The following is a 26,060-nucleotide window of genomic DNA, read 5'->3' on the forward strand; positions in this document are numbered from 1 at the left end:
CTGCAGAAAGCCATTACTTATCATGTTTGGCTAATAAATACTGTGTGAAGATTACTTCTGATGTGTAATCTCTTAATTACAGATACACAAAAAAGGCCAGTCATGAATCACGCCAAATTGGAAGCAACCAAGATGTCCTTCAGCGTGTGAATGGATAAGCAAACTATGGTGCATTCAGGTAACAGAATATTACTCAGCGCTAAAAAGAAATGAGCTATCAGCCATGAAAAGATGTGGGGGGTATTACGGCCATATTACTCAATGAAAGAAGCCAGTCAAAAATGGCTACAGACATACAATCCAACTGTATGACATTCTGGAAAAGGCAAAACCACGGAGACAGTAAAAAGATCAGTGTTTGCCAGAGGCTGGGGAAGGAGTGAAAGAGTAGGATGAATAGGTGGAGAACCGGAGAATTTTAGCTCAGTGGAGCTAGTTCTGTATGAAACTGTAATGATGGAGAGAGGACTTTAGGCATTTGTCAAAATCCATAGAAGTGTACGATACAAACAGTGAATTTTAATGTATACCATGGATTCAATTAATAATAATGGATCCATATTGGTTTGTCAATTGTAACAAACGTACTACATTAATGCAAGATGGTAACAGCCTAACTGCTGGGCAAAGAGAGGATGCATGGGAGCTCTCTGGACTTTCTGCTCAGTTTTTCTGCGAACCTAAAGCTGCCCCCCAAAAACTAAAACCCAAATTAAGAACAAAGTTAATGCTGTTTAAACATAATAATAATAAAAGGCTACTAATAACATACTAATATAGAAAACTAGTATTTCAAAACCAAGTCAGGACTATGATGCTCTTATCCATATTTGTTTGTTTGTTGTTTTCAAGGTTAGGCGATGCTTTCCTTCACTGTCCAGTTTGCAGAGCCGTCTTGGAGCTGGCGCGGGTCCTCCCTCTGTCGTCCTGGCTCTTGGAAAGGAACCAGGCGGGCTGAGGAACTGGCGCGCCCTCGTCCGCCCACAAGTCCTTGGAAAGCGCAGGCCTCGTGCGCTCTCCAGCGCCCTTCCAGGGCGCAAGGGCAGGACAGGTACATCCCGCGTGCTGCGGTGGCGATCAGCGCGGACACGGAGCCTGGCTCCACCCGTCCGCCCAGCCTTGGGGTTCTGCCAGAGCGCCGGGCGCAGAGCAAGCGGGTCTGAGCTCCAGCACCTTTGGCAGCTCCCGGCCCCGGGGTGCGAACGGCGGCCGTGGCTCACCGCTTCAGGAGCAGGCGACCAGGACACTAGGAAGAGAAGCCCGGACCAGGGCTAGTTTGTTTCCCCAACTCCTCTGGCCAGCTCAGGTTCTTAAACCCGCCGTGCAACAGACGCAGGTACCGGCTCAGAAAGCTCAGTCAGTGGTGCAGGAAGCCTGGGTCGCGGTGCATCGTGTTTAAAAATAAACACACACTTCCCTTGGGGCCAGTGGCATTTATTCTATTTAAATTACATAGATCGTTTCCATTCCTTGGTGTCTGAAGTATTAAGGCTGAAGTCTGCTTTCCCAGCTATTTGCATGTATTTGTTTAGGGATGGAGTCGCCCTGCAACACGGGCTGCTCCTATGGCAACTGCTACAAAACAAGATCAGGCTTCACCAGGGTCGGGAGAAGAAACCTCCCAAGAAAGCCAGGCGCTAGAGTCATGGGTGTGGATGTCCTTTTAGGGCCTAGGAAAGTAGGGTCTGATGAGGAGGCATTGAAGAAAAGCCAGTATGACGACGATGCTTTCATGGTGAAGTTTTGTGCATCTTCTACTGAACATTTTTTAAAGTATGCTCTTCTTTTTTGAGTTAGAAGGAAATATTGGCATTCAGAGTTAATGCTTCTTAAAAACAGTTACGTGGAAAGGAAAGCATTCCATCTTAGCTCATTTGCAAACAATTGCATTATTCTTGATCTTTGTTTATATCTATGTATGTGTCCAATGAATATACTGTAGGATGTATATGTAATTATATATCGTATGTATAGTATAGAATATAATTATATAACTTTTGAAACTTTGTACTTCAGAGAAGGCACTGTTTGGGAAACACATGGACATTTTATACACTGAAGTTTATCTTAAGTTCTTTTTTGTTTTTTTGAGACAGAGTATCACTCAGTTGCCCAGTTTTAAGTTCTCTCTTTTGAGAGGCAGTAAGTCATGATTAGGGAGAATGAATGGACCACAGAGACCGAAATGAAATTGTAAGTGATTCTCTTTGGAATCTGAATGGGCCTGAGAGGCAGACATTATCTCGGGAAAATGTCTGTCAGGTGTGGTCACATTCGTCAGGCTTTTTTTCTGAGATAATGAGATTCCAGGGAGGGCATAGAAAGCATTTATGTTTCTTTTGGTAAGCTCTCTTGGTCAGATAAGGATGTTCCAGGAATAGTCCCTGCCCTTGTGGTTTGGGGAGGCACAAGACAAGGTTAGAGGGACCTTCATTCTGAGGCTTATTTCTGAGGCCGCTCAGCTTTCAAAAGCGCCCAGCGTGCTCAGGTGCCATATTTTGAGGAATGATTTTCTATACCCCTCAACATCATAAAACCACCTCATTTAAGCTTCAAGTGGTGCCTCATGGTTCCTTTCTAGGTTTTTTTTTCTTTTCTTTTCTTTTTATTATTATACTTTAAGTTTTAGGGTACATGTGCACAACGTGCGGGTTTGTTACATATGTATACATGTGCCATGTTGGTGTGCTGCACCCATTAACTCGTCATTTAGCATTAGGTATATCTCCTAATGCTATCCCTCCCCCCTCCCCCCACCCCACAACAGTCCCCTGTGTGTGATGTTCCCCTTCCTGTGTCCATGTGTTCTCATTGTTCAATTCCCACCTATGAGTGAGAATATGCGGTGTTTGGTTTTTTGTCCCTGCGATATTTGCTGAGAATGATGGTTTCCAGCTTCAGCCATGTCCCTACAAAGAACATGAACTCATCCTTTTTTATGGCTGCATAGTATTCCATGGTATATATGTGCCACATTTTCTTAATCCAGTCTATCATTGTTGGACATTTGGGTTGGTTCCAAGTCTTTGCTATTGTGAATAGGGCCACAATAAACATACGTGTGCATGTGTCTTTATAGCAGCATGATTTATAATCCTTTGGGTATATACCCAGTAATGGGATGGCTGGGTCAAATGGTATTTCTAGTTATAGATCCCTGAGGAATCGCCACACTGACTTCCACAATGGTTGAACTAGTTTACAGTCCCACCAACAGTGTAAAAGTGTTCCTATTTCTCCATATCCTCTCCAGCACCTGTTGTTTCCTGACTTTTTAATGATTGGCATTCTAACTGGTGTGAGATGGTATCTCATTGTGGTTTTGATTTGCATTTCTCTGATGGCCAGTGATGATGAGCATTTTTTCATGTGTTTTTTGGCTGCAGAAATGTCTTCTTTTGAGAAGTATCTGTTCATATCCTTTGTCCACTTTTTGATGGGGTTGTTTGTTTTTTTCCTGTAAATTTGTTTGAGTTCATTGTAGAGTCTGGATATTAGCCCTTTGTCAGATGAGTAGGTTGCAAAAATTTTCTCCCATTCTGTAGGTTGCCTGTTCACTCTGATGGTGTTTCTTTTGCTGTGCAGAAGTTCTTTAGTTTAATTAGATCCCATTTGTCAATTTTGGCTTTTGTTGCCATTGCTTTTGGTGTTTTAGACATGAAGTCCTTGCCCATGCCTATGTCTTGAATGGTATTGCCTAGGTTTTCTTCTAGGGTTTTTATGGTTTTAGGTCTGACATGTAAGTCTCTAATCTGTCTTGAGTTAATTTTTGTATAAGGTGTAAGGAAGGGATCCAGTTTCAGCTTTCTACATATGGCTAGCCAGTTCTCCCAGCACCATTTATTAAATAGGGAATCCTTTCCCCATTGCTTGTTTTTATCAGGCTTGTCAAAGATTAGATAGTCGTAGATAATGCGGCATTATTTCTGAGGGCTCTGTTCTGTTCCATTGGTCTATATCTCTGTTTTGGTACCAGTACCATGCTGTTTTGGTTACTGTAGCCTTGTAGTATAGTTTGAAGTCAGGTAGCGTGATGCCTCCAGCTTTGTTCTTTTGGCTTAGGATTGACTTGGCAATGCGGGCTCTTTTTTGGTTCCGTATGATCTTTAAAGTAGTTTTTTTCCAATTCTGTGAAGAAAGTCATTGGTAGCTTGATGGGGATGGCATTGAATCTATAAATTACCTTGGGCAGTATGGCCATTTTCAAGATGTTGATTCTTTCTACCCATGAGCATGGAATGTTCTTCCATTTGTTTGTATCCTCTTTTATTTCATTGAGCAGTGGTTTGTAGTTCTCCTTGAAAAGGTCTTTCACATCCCTTGTAAGTCGGATTCCTAGGTATTTTATTCTCTTTGAAGCAATTGTGAATGGGAGTTCACTCATGATTTGGCTCTCTGTTTGTCTGTTATTGGTGTATAAGAATGCTTGTGATTTTTGCGCATTGATTTTGTATCCTGGGAGTTTGCTGAATTTGTTTTTCAGCTTAAGGAGATTTGGGGCTGAGATGATGGGGTTTTCTAGATATACAATCATGTAATCTGCAAACAGGGACAATTTGACTTCCTCTTTTCCTAATTGAATACCCTTTATTCCCTTCTCCTGCCTGATTGCCCTGGCCAGAACTTCCAACACTATGTTGAATAGGAGTGATGAGAGAGGGCATCCCTGTCTTGTGCCAGTTTTCAAAGGGAATGCTTCCAGTTTTTGTCCATTCAGTATGATTTCTTTTCTTTTGTTTTGAGATGGAGTCTGGCTGTGTCCCCAAGGCCGGAGTGCAGTGGCACAATCTCAGCTCACTGCAACCTCCACCTCCTGGGTTCAAGTGACTCTCCTGCCTCAGCCTCCCCCGTAACTGGAATTATAGGCACATGCCATGACGCCCAGCTAATTTTTGTATTTTTAGTAGAGACAGGGTTTGATATCCACTCACTTTAACCTCCCAAAGTGTTGGGATTACAGGAGTGAGTCACCTCACTCGGCCTATCTGAAGTTCTTATATTAAATATAGAGTTGACGTTTAGGATTCCTCTGGATCCAGCCTAAAAAGCAAGGCTTTATTTCCTTCTAAAGACTTGTAACACTATCAGACCCAATGCTCACCATTTTTCTTCCTTTTTTTTTGGAGACAGAGTCTTGCTATGTTGCCCAGGCTAGACTGCAGTGACTATTCAATACTGGCACCATCAGACTGCACTGTGGCCTTGAACTCCTGACCTCAAGGGATCCTCCTTGAGTTCTCGGCCTCCCCTATAGCAACAGGCATGCACCAATCATCTTTCCTTTTTTTCTTTTTTTTTTTTTCTTTTGAGATGGAGTCTCACACTGTTGCCTGGACTAGAGTGCAATGGCATGATCTTGGCTCACTGCAACCTCCGCCTGTCAGGTTCAAGCGATTCTCCTGCCTCAGCCTCCCAAGTAGCTGGGATTACAGGTGCCCACCACCACGACTGGGTAATTTTTTGTACTTTTTGTAGAGACCAGTTTTCACTACGTTGGCCAGGCTGGTCTGAAACTTCTGATCTTGTGATCCACCCACCTTGGCCTCCCAAAGTGCTGGGATTACAGGCGTGAGCCACGGAGCCTGGCCCATGCTCACTTTTTATAAGCAAATTTTTCAGTAATACCTACTATGGTTAATTTTTAAAAAATAGTCTTTATTTTTAAGAGCAGTTTTAAGTTCACAGCAAAACTGAGTAGAATGTAGGTACAGAGATTTCCCATACACATAGCTTCCCCTACACATAGCTTCCCCTATTATCAACATCCCCAGTCAGAGTGGTACGTTGTTGCAATTGGTGATGCTGCACTGACACATCATTATCACCCAAAATCTGTGATTTACTTATGGTTCACTCCTGTACATACTATGGGTATGACCAATGTCTACTGACATGTATCCACCATTATAGTATCATACCGAGTAGTTCCACTGCCCTAAAAATCCTCTGAGATCCATCTATTCATTCCTCCCTCCCCACCAACCCCTGGCAAACACTGATCTTTTCACTGTCTCCATAGTTATGCCTTTTCCAGACTGTCATATAGTTGGAATCATACAGTATAGAGCCTTTGCAGATTGGCGTCTTTCACTTAATAATATACATTGTAGGTTTCCTTTCTGCCCTTTCATGGCTTGAGGGCTCATATCTTTCTAGCGCTAAAAATTTTCCATTGTCTGGATGTACCACAGTTTTTTCACACATTCACTTACTGAAGGACATCTTGGTCATATCCGAGTTTGGGCATTTATGAATAAAGCTGCTATAAGCATTCGCGTGCAGGTTTTTGTGTGGACATAAGTTTTCAACTCATTTGGGTAAATACAAGAACTATGATTGCTGGATCATATGACAAGAGTACGATTAGGTTTACATTAGTAAGAAGCCTCCAAACTGTCTTCCAAATTGTCTGTATCATTTTGCATTTCCACCAACACTGTGGAAGAATTCCAGTTGCTCCACATCCTCACCAACATTTGGTGTTGTCAGTGTTCAAGATTTTGGCTATTCTAATACGTGTGTTGTAATATCTCGTTGTTTTCATTTGCATTTCCCTGATGATATATGAGGTGGAGCATCTTTTCATGTGTTTGCCATGTAACAAATATCCTTAACACCTCCTTAACAATTCTGAAATGCAATTCTTAGTTAATATCATTTACCTACAACATAATTGTTAAAATAATCAATACAATGCTCTAAGAAATAAAGGACTAAAAGGAAAGTGATGAATAATGACATAGTACAGGGACCCCACGAGAGAAGACATGAAGAATTAGACAGATGATTGCCCTTAAATGTCATAGAATCACCATGGAAGTGCCTCATATTGGCAAGTAAAATATCCCAAATCAGCAATGATATTCTCTAAAATGGCAAACAGCTGTCAGTAAAGCAAGCAAAACAAAGTATAATCTTCCTTCTTTTCACATTGTAGTTGCATGTGTGGAAATTTGTTGTATATTAAAATTACACAAAACACATTTCGTGTTTATATGTAAAATAGAGTTGAGGTCTAGATGCAGATAATTATACATAGGGTGCTTAGTTTGTTTTTCTTACACAAACATCTGTTGGGATATTCAGAATTTGACAGAACTGTCCCATGCCAACAGTGCTACCCCAATATTGTGAAAAAAAAAATCCTACTTTAAAAACCACTGTTCTAAAAGATGGAACTTGGTTGGGTGTGGTGGCTCATGCTTGTAATCTCAACACTTTGGTATGCTGAGATGGGAGGATTGCTTGATTGAGCCCAGGAGTTCAAGAGCAGCCTGAGCAACATAACAACACCCAGTCTCTACCAAAAATTTTGTAAATTAGCTGGGCATAGGGCATGTGACTGTACTCCCAGGAGGCTGAGCTGTACTTATTCATAGAGGGTCTTGCCTGCAAGTTGTCCAGGTTAATGGCATTTTTGAACAAAGAATTGGACAAAATGCACAGCAAAGCAAGGAAAGAATGAAACAAAGAAAGCAGAGATTTATTGAAAGTAAAAGTACACTTCGCAGTGTGGGAGCAGTTGGAGCAGCAGCTCAAGGGCCCAGATGCAGAATCTTCTTGGGTTCAAATACCCCCTAGAGGTTTCCCATTGGCCACTTGGTGTTCACCTCATGTAAATGGAGCGGTGGCTCACAATCAGTGTGATTGGTTACGGACAGTAACCGATCAGAGGCTGAAGTGAAGTTACAAAGGTCACACTCCTATGCACACATCTGATTGGTCTCGCAAAGCTAACAATCAGAGGGTAAAGCGAAGTTACAAAGTTGCTCTTCTATGCAAACCAAGACTTGGCTGGCAATCAGAGATTGGTCTTGGAAAGCTAACAGTCAGAGGCTAAAGTAAAGTTTCAAAGTTACACTCCTATGCAAACGTCTGATTGGTTGCAATCAGAGGTACTTTCAATTTCCCATCTGCCCGAGCAGAAAAGACGGGTTTGCAAAGGGAGTAGCCTCTGGTCCTTGTCACTTAGGTGTGGAAAGTTAGGGTTTTCCTTCCAGGGCCTATTGTTCTACCTCAGGAAGACTGATTGAGCTAAAGAGCGAGGCTGCTTTGAGCCATGATCACGCCACTGCACTCAAGCCTGGGTGACAAAGCAAGACCCTGCCTAGCAAAAAAAAAGAAAAAGAAAAAGATATAACTCTTTCTCCAACAGGAACATTATGAATTTTATTCACTGACTTGAGATTTGAGTCCAAGAAGGAAGGTGAAGTTGCTGAAAAACCAGACTCACTTAAAAGTCAAAAGCCGAGCCAGGCATAGTGGCTCACACCTGTAATCCCAGCATTGTGGGAGGCCAAAGTAGTTGGATCACCTGAGGTCAGGAGTTCAAGACCAGCCTGGCCAACATGGTGAAAACGCGTCTCTACTAAAAATACAAAAATTAGCCTGTCATGGTGACAGGTGCCTGTAATCCCAACTACTTGGAAGTCTGAGAATTGCTTGAACCCGAGAGGTGGAGGTTGCAGTGAGCTGAGATCACACCATTTCACTCCAGCCTGGGTGACAAGAATGAAACTCCGTCTAAAAAAAAAAAAGAAAAAAGAAACAAAAAAGTCTAAAGCTGGTAAACTAATCCCAATGAGAAGCTTGGCATTGAAATGATGAGTTTATTCACAGAGAAAAAGAGCAAAGTCTCCAAAAGTTTTCTAGGCATTTTATAACTGAGCTGGCCCCAAGTGCAGGTGCAGGAGCTCTTAGAAGCTCAGCCACGGGGAATAACACTGCAGGAAATACATGTCCAGGGATGAGCTGAATGAAATGGGTGGGATGGGATCCAGTATCCCATCTCTTCAACTTCGAACAGCTGCCCGCCTGTAGAAACCGTTGCAAGCTAGCTTGAGGACAGTATCCCTTCTGCAGGGCTGCATGCCGTTTGCTTGTCTGGCAATCCCATAACTCATAGGCAGATGCTGTATGCCATATACCAAATAGCAAAGTGGAGATGTGCAGGGTAGGAAAACTGGATTGCGAGGAAGGAGATGAGGCAATCATTCTCAACCTTGGCTGCACGACAGAATCTCTCGGGAAGACTTTATAAAATATGAATGCCAGGGCCCATTCCTATGGTGTTCTTTTTTTCTTGATAAATGTTAGCAATGGTTTTATTAGTCTTATGTCCTTGCTTTTGTGTACTATCTGTCCCCAGGGAGATTATTTTTGAGAATTACCCCTAAATTTTCATTGTTTTCTCCCTTCAAATTCAGTGCTTGTGAGACACATTATGAAAAAGAGAAGCGACTCCGCGTTTGTTTAATGCATTGCTTCCTCCACTTAACCTCTTGCTTATTGGAGCTAAAAGCAGATTCTGTAGTCCTTATCCCCTAGTGGCTCTAATCCCCACTCTCCTAACCAGGAATTTACCATTGTAGTTTCAATGCAATGGCCGTTTCATTTTCTTTTTCCATCCTAATCCAGTAGTTAGCTTAACTTGCTCTACAGTGAAATACACGCATGGTATTCTGACTTAATTGACCGAGTGCATGACCCTGGCATCAAAAATTTTTAAAGGCTGATAAGGTGATTCTAATGTGCATTTGGGGTGGAGAATACCAATCTGGCAGCTGGAAACAAAAGAAGAGTGAACATTTTCCCACTGGGCGCTTCCAGAAAGTAATTAAATACATATAAGTGCTGGGAAAAAAGGAGGCTAAGTCCTGAGATATTAACTAGTTATATGATGTTGAGCTGGCTATCTTATCTAAGACTCAGTGTCATCTTTAAAAGGAGGGAAACTATAGCACCAGCCATATACAGGTGTGAAGATTAAATGAGCTAGTATGTGTAAATCACTTAGCATGGTGCTTGACAGTGCCCAACAGACAGGCCCAAGGCATAGTGGCTCATGCATGTGGTCCCAGCGCTTTGGGAAGCTGAGGCAGTAGGTTCGTTTGAGCCCAGGAGGTTGAGGCTGCAGTGAGCCATGATCGTGCCACTGCATTCCAGCCTGGGAGACAGAGAGAGACTGCATCCCCCCCAAAAAAAAAAAAAAAACAGTTGGCTGGGCACGGTGGTTCATGCCTGTAATCCCAGCATTTTGGGAGGCCGAGGTGGGCGGATCACCAAGGTCAAGAGTTCAAGACCGGCCTGACCAACATGGCAAAACCCCGCCTCTACTAAAAATACAAAAATTAGGCTGGGCACTATGGCTCATGCCTGTAATCTCAGTACTTTGGGAGGCCAAGGCGGGTGGATCACAAGGTCAGGAGATCAAGATCGTCCTTGCCAACATGGTGAAATCCCATCTCTACTAAAAATACAAAAATTAGCCATGCGTGGCTGTGCACACCTGTAGTCCCAGCTACTTGGGAGACTGAGGCAGGAGAATTGCTTGAACTCGGGAGGTAGAGGTTGCAGTGAGCCAAGATTATGCCACTGCACTCCGGCCTGGGCGACAGAGCAATACTCCTTCTCAAAAACAAACAAACAAAGTGCCCAGTAAATGACTGGTGTTTCGTCATCATCCTCATTGTCATTTTAGAGAATAAAAACATTGGATTAGAAGTTTATATACAACATATTTGCCTCCATAAATAAGTGCAAATTCTGAAATTCAAAGCAAAAAATTTTTTAAAAATCATTTTATATTTGCTGAGAGCTTTTCCTTTGAACATAGATTGGGGGAGGCAGTTTCATGGATTTCCATGTTCATAACTGGATCTGTCCCCAGTCTTTTTCTGGCATTCCCAGCCTTGAACCGCGTCTTGTTAATCCTCCTCCACAAAAGCCCATACTAGCTTTTATTTATTTTCTCTCAGAATATTCCATGTCTATAATTTCTGTTGATTTATGCTCTATAAATACTAATTCCAGACTTGTGTAGCCAGCACTTTCTGGCCCCAAGCGCTCCACAAAATGGACTCAGATTGTCTTCTTGTATAACGCACAGTCTACCAGTTTGGTGAAAGGTGATAAAGTGATCTGTGGAGCTCAGATGGAAAGAAGCGTCTGGGAGAGCCAGGCTCCTAATCACTTAAATCCTTTCCAAACGTGGGGAGGGGGGTGGTGCGAGGGAGAATGAGAGCAGACAAAGCTGGCTGTCATTGCTATGATTAGGCTTTCGCTCTAAGCCTCCAGAGAGTTGTGAGCTGGGGTAAATGATGTGAAGGATTCATTTCGCCTGGATAGAGATAGGCTCAAGGAGCTGCACCAGTAAAAGTGGGATGAACGGCGTCTTAGACTCCCTTTCCTCTAAGCCCAGCGCAAGCCACAGCCTCGTGAACAGCTCAATGTAATAAGACAAATCCAAGGAAAAAGAAGGAATACGCTTCCTCCTGAGAGCTAGATTGGAGTGTCTCTAATCCCCTCAAACTGTTATCTGTCAGGAATCTTATTTGTGAGCAACAGAATCCAACTCCAATAACTTTGGAAGGAAGAAATTTAGCAGAAGGCTATTCAGGAGCTCCGGCTCGTGCTGAGCAGATGGGAGAAGCAGGCTTAAAGTCAAAGCTTTGGTGGCAGGCAGGAGCAGAAGTCAGTCAGTGAGGACACCAGTGCAGTGGGCATTGGACACAAGACCACAATGCTCACCATGGCTGATGCTGGCACGAGATAGTGGTTGCTGATGCAGGCATCGCTACCTCTGCACTTGGGAACTTGCCAGTACTCCCCCATCTGCCACCAACCACCTATCCGTGGTTTCGCCACCACCCACCTATCCGTGGTTTCTCCACCACCCTGCTTCCTGGGATGCAGCAACCCCCAAACAGATGCAGTTTTGGGCCAGCGTTATGGAAGAGAAAGCAAATCCCCCAAATGTCTGAATCACAAACACAGAGACCTCACCCCCGTGACAGTGGAAACAAATGCCCTGGCCTCTGACCCCTACAGATCCGCGTTCCTGCCCCTAAACGGTGCAGTGAGGGGAGAGCTGGGCTGCAGAACAGGTGGAGAGAAGAACGTGGTGTGTCCCCTAGGGGTCAGTGCTAGGACATATTGTCTCCAGGGTCTCGTGCCTTTCTGTTTGGTTGAGGGCAACATTTCTCAGAAGTATGTGGATACCTGGGATTTTAAGAGGGTATCATGGCAACTCTTTCACTCTCTAGTTTTAGAGGTGATCTTGACAAATGTCTCTCACCTGAGAGCCTTTGAGTATGTACCAACTAACCATATGGAGCAATTGGGGGATCAGATAAAAAGGCTGATGACACGGTCACTCTATTGAGTTAGCACCAGCTGAGCACAACAGCCCACCATGTTGTCTCTGACTACCATGGAGCATGGCAGGCTGCTTGTTGTCACCCCACATCCATTTTCCCCTTCTTCATTAGAAAATGGTGAGCCAGCTAAAAATTGTATTTCCCAGTCTTCTTCTTCTCCTCCTCCTCCTTCTTTTCCTCCCTCCTCCCTCCTCCCTTTCCCCTTCACCTCCCCTCCCCCTTCACCCTCCCCAACCCCTTCTCTTCCCCCTTGTTCTCCTTCTCCCCCTCCTTCTCCTTCTCCTTCTTCTGACAGGGTCTTGCTTTTTCACCCAAGCTAGAGTGCAGTGGTGCAATCATGGCTCACTGAAGCCTCAACCTACTGGCTTAAACGATCCCTCCACATCAGCCTCCCAAGCAGCTGGGACTACAGGCACACACCACCACGCCTGGCTGGTTGTTAGATTTTTTTGCAGATATGTGGTTTTTGCCCGAGCTGGTCTTGAACTCCTGTTCTCAAGTGATCGTCCCACCTCAGGCATCCAAAGTGCTGTGAATATAGGTATGAGCCATCACACCCTGCCTACCCCAGCCTTTTTTACAGCTAGGTGTGGCCATCCAGCTAAGTTTTCATCAGTGAATTGTGAGAGGAAATAATGCACGAAATTTTGATTTCAGCCGGGCTCAGTGGCTCACGCCTATGATCCCAACACTTTGGGAGGCTGAAGCTGGCAGGTGGATCACTTGAGCTCAAGACTTCAAGATCAGTCTGTCCAACATGGTGAAACCCCATCTCTACTACAAATACAAAAATTAGCCAGGCGTGGTGGCACACGCCTGTAATCCCAGCTACTGGGGAGGCTGAGGCAGGAGATTCACTTGAACCCGGGAGGTGGAGGTGGCAGTGAGCCGAGATCACTCTACTGCACTCCAGCCTGGGCAACAAAGTGAGACTCCATCTCAAAAAAAAAAAAAATTCTTTTTTGGTCTTACTTCCTTAAAACACTCCCCAAAACTTGGCCTTTACTTCCCCCCAAATTGTTACAGATTTTCATTTTTTCCCTTTCTTGAATCAGAAAATAGCTATGTTTGCTGCTTGACTTTGATTATGTAGATTAATTCATAGCCCTAGGTCAGTTTTTTTGTTTTGTTTTTTTGTTATTTTTTTTTTTTTTTAGATGGAGTCTCGCTCTTTCACCCAGGCTGGAGTGCAGTGATTTGATCTCAGCTCACCGCAACCTCCACCTCCTGGGTTCAAGAGATTCTCCTGCCTCAGCTTCCCAAGTAGGTGGGATTATAGGCTCGCACCACCACGGCCAGCTAATTTTTGTATTTTTAGTAGAGACAGGGTTTTGCCACATTGGCCAGGATGGCCTCAAACTCCCGACCTCAAGTGATCTGCCTGCCTCAGCCTTCCAAAGTGCTGGGATTACAGGCATGAGCCACCGTGCCCAGCCCAGGAGCTGTTAATCAGGGTTTTATGAATACTCAAGGAATTTGGGGATATAAACCATGTGGGTTAATGAAGTTAAATCAGGGAAAAAAAGTCTTCATTTCAATTTAACTCTAACTGAAATTGTGTTTTTCAATTATGAATACAGGAAAGTAACCACAGTATTAAGAGTACAGGTAACTTTGTGACCAATAGAAAGGTATTTTTATTTCACATTTCAGCTGAAGATATCTCAAAATATTATTTGTGCTCTTCACCAGTTTGAAATTGTGATACGAGACAATTTGACCCTACTAGATCTTTCTATTTAATGTATTAATAAAGAAGCAAATATATTAGTAATTCACACATTTGCTTTATAAGCATTGTGATGAATATATTTCAATATAATTGCTATCTTTTATAATCCTATACATTTTCTTTTATATCTTTGAAAAAATTATTCTGAGGCTAGGCATGGTGGCTCTCACCTGTAATCCAAGCACTATGGGAGGCCGACATGGGAGGATGACTTGAGGCCAGGAGTTTGAGACCAGCCTGGTCAACATAGCAAGACCTTATCTGTATTAAATAATAATAATAATGATAAAAAGAAAAAAATTATTCTGAGATAGTCCATAAGCTTCACCAGACTGTCAAAGGGGACCTTGTCACAAAAAACTTAAGAAGCAACATGGTTTCTTTTTTCTAGTCATTCTGTCTCATGGGATGGCAGAACAACTGGCTCTCAGAATACATGCGGAACAGATCTCACCCTCAATGAAACCACTCACCTACAGACGTTAAATAAGAGAGAAATAAACCTTATGATCTTTAAGCCATGCATTTTATGGTATTTTTGTTATAGAAGCTTAAAAAATACTCCAACCATACATATAAAGTTATTTTATTCTCACTTTCTTGTTTTAAAATTCATATCAACATCATTCGTTAAAGGTAAGAAGCATACAGATGTCAAAATCCAACAACTTGCTGAGGATTATTAAAATGATAATAATTATGCAAATTTATTTCAAGGAGATATTTGCAGTTTGTATGTTGTATTCATCTCAACAAAAGTGTTATTTAGCACAACAAAATACTTCTTGTACTTCAAAATATATTAAGAGAGAAAATATGGTGCCTATTAAATTTAATTTGACTTCTTATTTATCAAAAGTAAACATTAGCACCTGAAATACGTTGTTTGCACAGAAATACCTGTATTTAGAAGCTTGAAATATTTCCTCTGAATTGATAACTTAGAAACAAAACATGGAAATTATAGTAAGTGAATTTCCTATTTAATGTGCTAAAGGCAATCTGTTTATACAGTAGTATGCAATTTTAAATTTTAAACCAGTTTTTAATATATGTTTGATCCTAAGGCTAAATATCATATATATTCTTCTTGAATTAATTTGTTTATAAAGCATGTTTTTGCTACTTAATTAATTAATTAATTATTCTGGATGGACTGTCACTGTTAGCTGGAGTGCAGTGGCGCCATCTCGGCTCACCGCAACTTCCACCTCCCGGGTTCAAGTGATCATGCCTCAGCCTCCTGAGTAGCTGGGATTACAGGCATGTGCCACCATGCTTGGCTAATTTTTGTATTTTTAGTAGAGATGGGGTTTTGCCATGTTGGCCAGGCTGGTATTGAACTCCCGACCTCAAATGATCCACCTGCCTCAGCCTCCCAAAGTGCTGGGATTACAGGCATAAGCCACTGTGCCCAACCTGATTTAAATGAATAGTATGTATCAATTGTTAAGTGGGAAAAAAACTAAATGTTTCTATATATTTTAAATATTACTACACATTATATAAAAGTGAACTCATATGCTAATTGAAAATACACTTTATACTTGAAATTACTTAATATTGTATGCCCTGCAAAGTTGATAGAATTTTTTTTAGTTGTCTTTTTGCATCCCTTGGCTATGCTATAATGCGGCTTTGAGGATCAAATAAGGAGCTTGAGAGCATTGAAAGTACCACCAAGTTGAGAGGGGGAAGACCTCATATGCAGGAGAGGATTAACTTTGCCCATACAGGGGTCTGGCCTTTGCCCTCAGCTCCTGGAAGATAATCTCTAAACCACTGGAATATCCTGCTTGATAAGAATGTTTACCTGAGGACTTTGGAACAAGCTCCATAACCTATGCTAACAATGTAATCGATAATGCAGGCTTTGGGCCACACAGCTCCAGCTCAGCCTCCGGAAGGGCTGGAAACTGACCATGTCGATGTGACAGAACCCCAGTAAAAACTGTGGACATTGAGGCTCAGGTGAGCTTCTCTGGGTGGCAATTCATGCATATCCTCACACATCACTGCTGAGTTAGTTCTCCACTGGGAAAGAACAACTGGAAGCTTTGCACGTGGAGCTCTCCTGGACTCTTCCCCATATGCCTCTTCCCTCAGTTTATTTATTTATTTAGAGACAGAGTTTCACTCTTGTCGCCCAGGCTGGAGTGCAGTGGCGCAATCTCAGCTCACTGTAACCTCTGCCTCCCAGGTTCAAGCAATTCTCCTGCCTCAGCCTCCCAAGTAGCTAGAATTACAAGCATGTGCCACCACCAGCACACCTGGCTAATTTTTTTGTGTTTTTGTAGAGATGAAGTTTCACCATTTTGGCCAGGCTGGTCTCGAACTCCTGACCTCAGGTGATCTGCCTGCCTTGGCCTCCCAAAGTGCTGGGATTACAGGTGTGAGCCACCACGCCCCGCCCCCTCAGCTGATTTAAATTTGCATTCTTTCACTGTGATAAGCCACAACTGTGAGTATAACAGCTTTCAGTGAGTTCTGTGAGTCCTTCCAACAGATTGTCAAATCTGTGGGTGGTCTTGAGGATCCCTGAACTTGCAGTTAGTATCTGAAGTGAAAGTGGCCTTGGGGCCTCCTGAACTTCACGCCTGGCTTCTAGTCCTGACTGCCCCTAACTCTAGTTATCAACAAATCTCCATTTGCCTCCAAGCCACAGTGTCTGCTGGTTCTCTGCCAAACTCCCACCCTTCTCTGCCTTCCTTTGTGTCATTGCCTATGTTCCCTAACTCCAGGGGAAGATGAGCAGGTGCGAGACAGGGAGAAGCCATCCTACTTCTGGCTCCAGCGGCAGCGGTACCAGTGACTGTATACAACAGGGGGCCCGAGAAGCATCTGAGGCTCCAGCGGAGACACAGGATTGGCTTCCGCTCCCCAGCAGTGGGGACGTCTCCAGACATTCAGCAGCTCCAGCCCGGGGACTGCTGCAGCTTCTACCCTCTGGGTAACACCCCTCTTCTCTCTTTTGCTCTTCTAGCATACCCCACACCTTTGTCAACATCCCCTGAATTAATTCTCTCTCTGCGTTCAGTTTTCCTGAAAGGGGAAATCCCCCTTTTCTGTATAAGGGGAATAATAATAATTGTATCTGTTCTCTGTATCACTCAGAGCTGTTGTGAGCATCCACTGCTAATGGTTGATTGGTTGCTTTAAGGTTAATAAAGAATCACCTAATTTCACACTATTATGATCATGCAAATAGGGGCGTTTGCATCACAAAACAAGTATCGAGTAGGGAGGAGATTCTCTGGAACCTAGAACAAAGACAGGAAATATATTTTAAAATATTCTTACTGTATTATGATGCATTTAAGCCTTGTAGTCAAATCCCAGCTTTACCATTTATTGTCTGTGTGGCCTTAGGCAAGTTGCTGAAGTTCTCTGTGTTTTATTTCCTCATCTGTGAAATGAAGATAACAATGGACCTACCTCACTGGGTTTCTGTGGGGATTAAATACAATAACTCATACATGACCAAAAGGTTGTATAAGCAATATTCATGGGCCATGATAAGAAACCACCTTTATTTTGTTTCTCATTGTTTATTTAAAATTTCTTCAGCAGGAGAAACTCTTTTCCTGCCCCTAAATGTGAAATCAGGTGGTTCTCTAATGCTTCTGACCATCCTTAGGTAATAAAAAGTTCTACAACCACATTAAGTTGCAAAACACACTCTCATTTCTAGATTTAGAATGTCACATCCCATGTAATAATAAAAGCTTCCAGTTTTAGGGAAAGTTCCCCCTAGCTGGGGTCTTTTGCTACGGAGCCAGGTTTAGGGGGTATGATTCTCTTCTAGACGGTCACCTTACCCCTGCAGTCCCAATTTGATAACCATAGTTTCTCATCAATTGAAGTGGGTTAGGTTGGGTTAGGACAGAAAAGGTTAGGGTGTGGCCAGAAACCTTCACCTTAAGTGACACTCTTGTAGGCTATGTTCTCACTTTCTGGGTTTGGCAAATGGTTAAAGGTGACCTTTTCTTCCTGGTGCTTCAGATTTCACCGTGACTTTCAACTGTGCTTCCCATGTTGAGGGCAATGTATTTGCTCCTGGTTGCTTTTCTCTCAGCCGTGTGTGTGTGTGTGTGGGTGTGTGTGTGTGTGTGTGTGTGTGTGCGTGTGCGTGCGTGCATGCATGTGTGTGTGTAGCTATCCACCGTGCACAGAATCTCTGTTGAAGACCCCTGTTCTTCCAGGCGTCCCTTGACCAGAGTTTAAACAAGCTCCAAGCCATCCTCCTCTCCCTCATGGTCCACACTTGAATTTTTTGTCCTGACATACTTTGGGAGTGCAAGCTGACCTCAGTGCAGAAGGAACTCTCCTTCACCCTGTTAATGTCTTTTCCAGACTGCCCTTCTCTCTTGACCTCTAGATTCTCTGGATGCAAGTCAGACTGTAGTCTACTGTGCTTCCACCTCCCAGGGGACACAAACCAAGCTCTACTCGGTCCTAGTAAAGTCTCTCTTGACCTGACATGAAGAGGAGGCATCCCTACCAGTCCCCATTGCTGCATGTGATAAAGGACCCATACAGCACCTCTTTCTAGACACAGTTTCTTCAATTTTTTTCCCTCAGTTTCAACTTTTTAATATATAGCCATGTATCACTTAATGACAGGGATACTTCTGAGAAATGCATTGTTACATGATCTCATCATTGTGCGAACATCATAGAGGGCACGCACACAAACATAGATGATCTAGCCTACAACACACCTAGGCCATGTGGGACAGCCTATTGCTCTCAGGCTATGAACGTGCACAGCATGCGATTGCACTGAAAACTGTGAGCAATTTCCATACTATTAGTATTTGTATATCTAAGTATATCTGAATATTAAAAAAGGTATACTAAAGCTACAATATTATAATCTCTTGGGACCATCAACGTATGTGCAGTGTGTCATTGACTGAAAAGTCATTATTCACTGCAGGACTGTATTTCTTTTTTGTTTTTGTTTGTTTGAGATGGAGTCTCGCTCCTTTGCTCAGGCTGGAGTGCAGTGGCATGATCTTGGCTCACTGCAGCCTCCGCCGCCCAGGTTCAAGCAATTCTCCTGCCTCATCCTCCTGAGTAGCTGGGATTACAGGCATGCGCTACGCCTGACTGATTTTTGTATTTTTAGTAGAGAAAGGGTTTCACCATGTTGGCCAGGCTGGTCTTGAACTCCTGACCTCAGGTGATCTGCCTCCCTCAGCCTCCCGAAGTGCTGGGATTACAGGCGTGAGCCACTGTGTCCGGGCCAGGACTGTATTTGACTTAGTGGAAGTAGTCCAAAATTGTGTAACTAGTTTTTGACTAAATCCTACTTTATAAGCCCTCTGGGGTGGTCTGTGTGAAAACTCACTTTGGTATTTAGTATCTATTATCCTCATGCCTCAGCCAAACTGGGAAAGAAGGAGCCTCATTTTTACATCTTTTATATGTGAAGAGCACTTAGAACAGTGCTCAATAAATGTTAGCCATTGTTAACTATTGTGAACAGAAAACACAACATGTGGGTAGTTTGAAATAAGCAAGTGGAACCAAAACAAAAGGATCACCCATTATCCTTCTTTCACAGAGAGCTTTAATGAATTCGATATTGTGGGATATCTTTTCTAGCTTACTTTCAGAGTAGAAGAGATTTTCATCTATTTGGAATGGATTAGCTGCCATTCAGCTTAAGCCGAGCAGTGAACTTGTGACCTCTTATTTCAGGTTCATGATGCTTTGAAACTCAGCCACAGGAAGCAAAGATATGGGTGGCAAGGCTGGGCACAATAGCTCACGCTTGTAATCCCAGCACTTAGTGAGGTCGAGGCAGGTGGATTGTTTAAGGCCAGGAGTTCGAGACCAGCCTGAGCAACATAGAGAGACCCCCGTCTCTACAAAACAAACAAAAATAGAACAAAGCAAAAACCAGCCAGATGTGGTGGCTCATGCCCAGCTACTCCAGAGCCTGAGGTAGGAGGATCGCTTGAGCCCAGGAAATTGAGGCTGCGGTGAGCTGTGATTGCACCACTGCACTCCAGCCTGGGTGACAGAGTGAGATACTGTCTCAAAAAAAAAAAAAAAAAAGATATGGATGGCAGCAATTTTGCCCCACATGGGGCCGCAGTGAGTGTATCAGGCCATGGTGTTTCTTGGGAAGGAGAATGCAGCAATGTTAATAGTCAACCTATTTAGAAATACAGCAACTATCATTTCCTTCCACAGGTATAGTAGGGAAACTGAGTGGTGCTGTCCACACGCTTGGAACCATTCCTCCAGGGCTGACTTTTTACAGAAAAAGGCTTATTTTATTTTACTTTATTTTTCAAGACAGTTTCACTCTGTCACCCAGGCTGGAATGCAGTGGCACGATCTCCGCTAACTGCAACCTCCACCTCCCAGGCTCAATCAATCCTTCTGCCTCAGCCTCCTGAGTAGCTGAGACTACAGGCACGCACCACCATGCCTGGCTAACTTTTGTATTTTTAGTAGAGATGTGGTTTTGCCATATTGGCCAGACTAGTCTGGAACTCCTAACCTCAAATGATCCAGCTGTCTCGGTTTCCCAAAGTGTTGGGATTACAGGTGTGAGCCATGGCACCTGGCCAGCTTATTGCTTTTTAAACCTGAAATATTTTCATGGACTGGGAGAGACATAATTTTTGTTGTTGTTGTATAAATTCAGCCTCTTTCTTTGCACTGTCTTTTCTATTGAAAGTTGAAAAGTTTGATGGAATTGGAATAGGGAATGTAGTTCTAATTGGACCAGTCAATTCCCAGCTCTTAAAAGCCTGGACTGATAGTCACGGATTCCTTGCAGCCTCACTTTCTTATTCCATAAAGTGGGATCCACAGTACCTAACTGCCGTGACAACTCACAGAACTGTTTTTGTTTTGTATGCTGTTTTTAGAGACAGGGACTTGCTTTGTCACACATGCTGGAGTGCAGTGGTGCGATCATAGCTCACTGCAGCTTCAACTTCCTGGGCTAAAGGGATCCTCCCACCTCAGCCTCCTGGTTAGCTGGGACTACAGGTGCTGCCACCACACTTGACTAATTGTTTAATTTTTTGTAGAGATGGGGTCTTGCTATGCTGCCCTTACTGGTCTTGAACTCCTGGCCTCAAGCAATCCTTGCACCTTGGCCCCCAAAGTGCTAGGATTACAGGCGTCCCTCACCGTTCACACCCTCACAGAACTGTTTTAAGGATCTGATCAGCAAACGGGTGTTAAAATTGCAATAATATTATTTCTTTATCATGAAAGCACTTAATAAGTGTATCATATAACCAGTTTTCCTATTGTGTTTGTGTTTGGATCTGCTAAAAATACATTTTACACTGAGCAGGCTGAAAGAGAAAGCAAAACACCAGAGAGCCCGGTGTTTTCTGACTAATAAAATATTCTACATAATCATGTAATGAACAATTGCTGAACACAAGTCTGGTGAGTTCATTTATGTCAGTAAACAAATTCCAATTTTTTTCAATGAACATATTTTGTAGAATGAAAAATTAATTCAATGTTTTATAATAGTGTGATCACACATTTTGTAGCTGAAAGTCACATCTCTAGGAGGTTAAATGAGAGCTAAGTTTTTATTTATTTATTTTTTTTTTTTTTTTGAGACAGTCTCACTCTGTCCCCCAGGCTGGAGTGCAGGGGCATGATCTTGGCTCACTGCAACCTCCTTATCACGGGCTAAAGTGATTCTCATGTCTCAGCCTCCCAAGTAGCTGGGATTACTGTAGTATGCCACCACACCTGGATAAATTTTGTAATTTTTTAGTAGAGGTGGGGTTTCATCATATTGGCCAGGCTGGTCTCGAACTCGTGGCCTCAAGTGATCCACCTGCCTTGGCCTCCCAAAGTGCTGGGATTACAGGCATGAGCCTCCCAAAGGCTGGGATTACAGGCATTACATCTACCACTCCCAGTGGAGAGCTAAATTTTTAGCAGGTGAGCATCCTCTGGATTATTTTGAGAAGGTTATTTCCTCTCAATAAACATAACAAGTCATAGATCCTGCAGAGATTTAAACGGAAATAAGATGGCTGTGCAAGGAGACAGCAGAGACCGTGGAGACTGAGATAAAATGATAGGAATATTGAAATATGCAAGTAAATAACTACATTGGGAAAAATTAAAGGCAGATATTTTACTGTGGAGGAAGAGATTACAAATATAAAAGGCTGAGAAAAACCTTGAGGTGTGGGGTTGAAACTGATGATATCAGTGTGAACTCATATTTATATAGGCAAAGATACATAAAGATGGAAATATTTATATAGAGTATGTGTATGTGTGTGTCTTCCATCTCCGTTAATGAGAGGTCTCAGAAGCAATGACCCTACTGTAGCAATGAGTATATTCTTCACTAGGCCAGGCGCAGTGGCTCACGCCTGAAATCCCAGCACTTTGGGAGGCCGAGGCGGGTGGATCATTTGAAGTCGGGAGTTCAAGACCAGACTGGCCAACCCAACATGGCAAAACCCTGACTCTATTAAAAATTTTTTAAAAAATTAGCCAGGAGTGGTGGCACACACCTGTAATCCCAGCTACTGGGGAGGCACAGGCAGGAGAATCGCTTGAATCCAGGAGGCTGAGGTTGCAGTGAGCCAAGATTGTGCCACTGCACTCCAACCCGGGTGACAGAGTGAGACTCCACCTCAAAAAAAAAAAAAATTTTTCAATAAAAGACCCAGGACTCCTTAGAGAACTGGCAAATTCCTGGGCCAGGACAAGGGAAAGACAGAATGAGCTTGAAACAGTTTGTTGCACAAGAATGTAAGAAAATGCTAAAAAAAAAAATAATGGGAACATGTCAAAAGGACATAGGAAGCAGCTTGAAGAAACTCCCTTGGCCAAATCTAGGTTAATCTGTGTCATCCCCCTCCCCTAAAAAAATGATAGAAATGGATTACATTTCCTCAAATAAAATAGGAAGCCATGAGTCCATACTGACATATATATATATATATATGTAAATTAAACAGGAAAGCATCTCTTTGTAGTAGAATGTCAACTACAGAAGGAATTATGGAAATAGAAAAAATCATCATTTAAGGCTGGGCGTGGTGGCTCACGCTTCTAATACCAGCATTTTGGGAGGCTGAGGCAGGTGGATCACCTGAGCTCAGGAGTTTGAGACCAGCCTGGCCAACATGGTGAAACCCCATCTCTACTAAAAATACAAAAATTAACTGGGCTTGGTGGCAGGTGCCTGTAATCCTGCTACTCTGGAGGCTGAGACAGGAGAATCACTTGGACCCGGGAGGTGGAGGTTGCAGTGAGCCGAGATTGTGCCATTGCACTCCAGCCTGGACAACAAAGTGAGACTCTGTGTCAAAAAAAAAAAGTTAAAGTCATTGTTTAAGGAGTACCATAATGATAGTTGATTCAGACAGGAATGGGTAATGAATGCTCCAGCCTGTGTGCTGGCATTTGATAAGGTACAGATACTCCTCAACTTACTGTGGGGTTATGACCTCACACATCCATCGTAAGTTGAAAATATCATCATGTTTTAGATGCACAGTGCTTCTTCTGATTACAGAATTTAAATATTCTTGAAATTTCCCTTTCTTTTCTTAATATCAGTGGTTTTGTCACTAAGACTGAAACTTAGCAGTTTAATCTTGTCCTATTTCCATTAAAATATGGTTATTCTTAATACCTACTCAGAATCCCTGCAATGTGAGGTACAAATGAAGATTCTGAGGCTACCCAGATCTATAAAGTCAAATCCTGAAATAAGGACCCCAGGAATCTACATTATTATGGAGTTCCTCGGGATTCTCACACACACTAAAATTTAAGGGCTATTGTCATATGGTTTCTATAATATTGAGCTTTGTGATTTTGACAATGACCAAAGAAATGCCTTCAATAAAACCCTACAAAATTCCATCATGAAATCTCCATTTTAAATGTAATAATTTTCAATTGCCTAGAGTACTTATTCAAACATTTTTTAATGGGCCCTTGCATAGCTAAGAATTTTTGTTTACCTCACAAACGACAGATACCTTGGTTGACAATAAAATTCTTAGAGTGTAAACTTTTTCCCTCAAAATGTTGTAAATGTTGTTTATTGGCTTCTGGAATTTAGTATTTCAGATAAATTTGAGGCCTATCTAATTTTTGCTGTTTTAAGAGTTCTAGTTTTTGCTGGGTGTGATGGCTATGTCTGTAATCCCAGGATTTTGAAAGGCCGAGGCAGGCAGATCACTTGAGCCCAGGAGCTTGAGACCAGCCTGGGCAACATGATGAAACCCCATCTCTAAAAAATTACAGAAATTAGCCGGGCTTGTGGCACACACCTGTAGTCCCAACTACTCAGGAGGCCGAGGTGGGAGGATCGCTTGGCCCTGAGAGGTTGAGGCTGCAGTGAGTTGTGATTGTGCCACTGCACTCCAGCCTGGGTGACAGAGTGGGACCTTGTGTCAAAAAAAAAAAGAAAAGAAAAGAAAAGAAAAAAGAGTTCTAGTATTTTTACACCTGGATAATTCTGTAATCTTTTATCATTTTAATTCAAAAATTTGCCAAGACGTGCCATTAATCTTGCTTGCTCTCGCACTAGGAATGTTTTCTGGGAACAGGCTATTGCCTTCCATTGCATCTTTGATTATTGGTCCCACGAGTACCATGGCAGGTACCTTCAAGCCTCCTCCCCTTTCTGCGAATTTCCTGAAGTATACCCCCGCCTCCTCTGCCTGGAAACTTCCTCCTCATTATTATATTTTGCCATAGTTTAATAAAACATTCAAGTTTATAATTATATTATTTAGAGCAAAATAGAGGCTTATAATTTTTTGCAAATAATGTTTTTCTCTTCTGTACTTTTACAAATGGTAAAATGTATTATATACACAAATGAACTTTTAACAACATATAAGTAACATACTACTATTAATGAAATGCTTTTTGCATCTATCATCCCCACTGAGAAATAGAACTTAGTGCATTAGGAGCCCCCACTTGTCTCTTTTTTATTGCCTTTTCAAAATCTATTTTTCATGTAGGGATATGCGCCTAGCTATCATATTGTTTAGTTTTGAAAATTAAGATGCAAACACAAACTTAGCTGTATGAGGAGGGACAAAATCGTCTCTATTTGATGAAGTCTCCCAGGTAATCTGAACAGTCTCTAAGTCACAGCCTGGCTCCATCTTGCTTGATTGCTGATGGGAAACCTTTGGAAATTGGTGGGCAAAGCTGTATGTGTGTCCTAGGAAATGTAGGCATGTAAGGGCATCAGACAGAACTATGGCGTGGATTACCAAATATCAAGAAGACATATAGGCCCGGCACAATGGCTTACGCCTGTAATCCCAGCACTTTGTGAGTCCGAGGCAGGTGGATCACAAGGTCAGGAGATCGAGACCAGCCTGGCCAACATGGTGAAACCCCATCTCTACTAAAAACACAAAAATTAGCTGGGCGTGGTGGTGTGCACCTGTAATTCCAGCTACTCAGGAGGCTGAGTCAGGAGAATCGCTTGAACCCGGGAGTTGGAGGTTGCAGTGAGCCGAGATCATGTCACTGCACTCCAGCCTGGGTGACAGAGTGAGACTCCGTCTCAAAAAAAAAAAAAAAAAGAAAGATATATGGTTAGACACAGTGAGTTACAGTGTGTTTTCTCTTTCTTAGCTTACCACGTTTTATCTCCAGCTCTTGCATAATTCAAAGCACAATACTTCTGTGGGGTGAATGAGTATCTTCAACTGATATAGCAGCAGGACTTGGAGGGGAAAGTGGAACTTCCTCAAGTTTTGATCAAGAGAAAGTAAGCAGCTGGGTGTGGTAGCTTGTGCCTGCAATCCCAAAACTTTGGGAGGCCAAGGTGGGAGATCACTGGAGGCCAGGATTTCGAGACCAGCGTGGCCAACACAGAAATCTCATCTCTACTGAAAATACAAAAATTAGCCAGGTATGGGTATGCACACCTGTAATCCCAGCTACACAGGAGGCTGAGGCACAAGGATCGCTTGAACCTGGGAGGTGGAGGTTGCAGTGAGCCGAGATTGTGCCACTGCAGTCCAGCCTGAGTGACAGGAAGACTCCGTCTCAAAAAAAAAAAAAAAAAGGCAAAGTAATCACACATCAAAATCTGACTAGATTCACTGGACTTTCTGTTCACCTGTTAAATAGAGTATGCAATAGCATTCAACATCTTGGTGGTAACAGCA

The 26,060-nt window shown here is 42.8% G+C and overlaps 1 protein-coding gene across 1 annotated transcript, besides 1 other annotated feature; it reads left to right on the forward strand.

The window, feature by feature from the left end:
- The first annotated feature begins 860 nt into the window (after nucleotides 1–860).
- On the forward strand, nucleotides 861–25,723 carry LOC124901866 (uncharacterized). Its single transcript, XM_047422504.1, has 4 exons — nucleotides 861–924; nucleotides 960–1,336; nucleotides 16,632–16,840; nucleotides 25,522–25,723. Exons 1-4 carry the CDS (start codon nucleotides 861–863, stop codon nucleotides 25,583–25,585), a joined length of 714 nt encoding a protein of 237 aa, XP_047278460.1. The 3' UTR covers nucleotides 25,586–25,723.
- Nucleotides 15,534–15,828: an enhancer, noted in NCBI's record as "tiled region #10847; HepG2 Activating DNase matched - State 8:EnhW". NCBI's record gives its function as "activates a minimal TATA promoter and a strong SV40 promoter by Sharpr-MPRA in HepG2 cells {active_cell/tissue: HepG2}" and the evidence as "EXISTENCE:reporter gene assay evidence [ECO:0000049][PMID:27701403]".
- Nucleotides 25,724–26,060: the final 337 nt, after the last annotated feature.

Source organism: Homo sapiens, chromosome 8 (assembly GCF_000001405.40).
Source record: "Homo sapiens chromosome 8, GRCh38.p14 Primary Assembly".
In the NCBI taxonomy this organism is placed as follows: domain Eukaryota; kingdom Metazoa; phylum Chordata; class Mammalia; order Primates; family Hominidae; genus Homo; species Homo sapiens.

Coding starts and splice junctions, on each gene's coding strand:
- LOC124901866 (XM_047422504.1), top strand. CDS start 861: ATGCTTTCCTTCACTGTCCAGTTTGCAGAGCCGTCTTGGAGCTGGCGC. Junction 1,337..16,631: donor CCGCCGTGCAACAGACGCAG/GTACCGGCTCAG, acceptor CCCTAACTCCAG/GGGAAGATGAGCAGGTGCGA. Junction 16,841..25,521: donor CTGCAGCTTCTACCCTCTGG/GTAACACCCCTC, acceptor TCTCTTTCTTAG/CTTACCACGTTTTATCTCCA.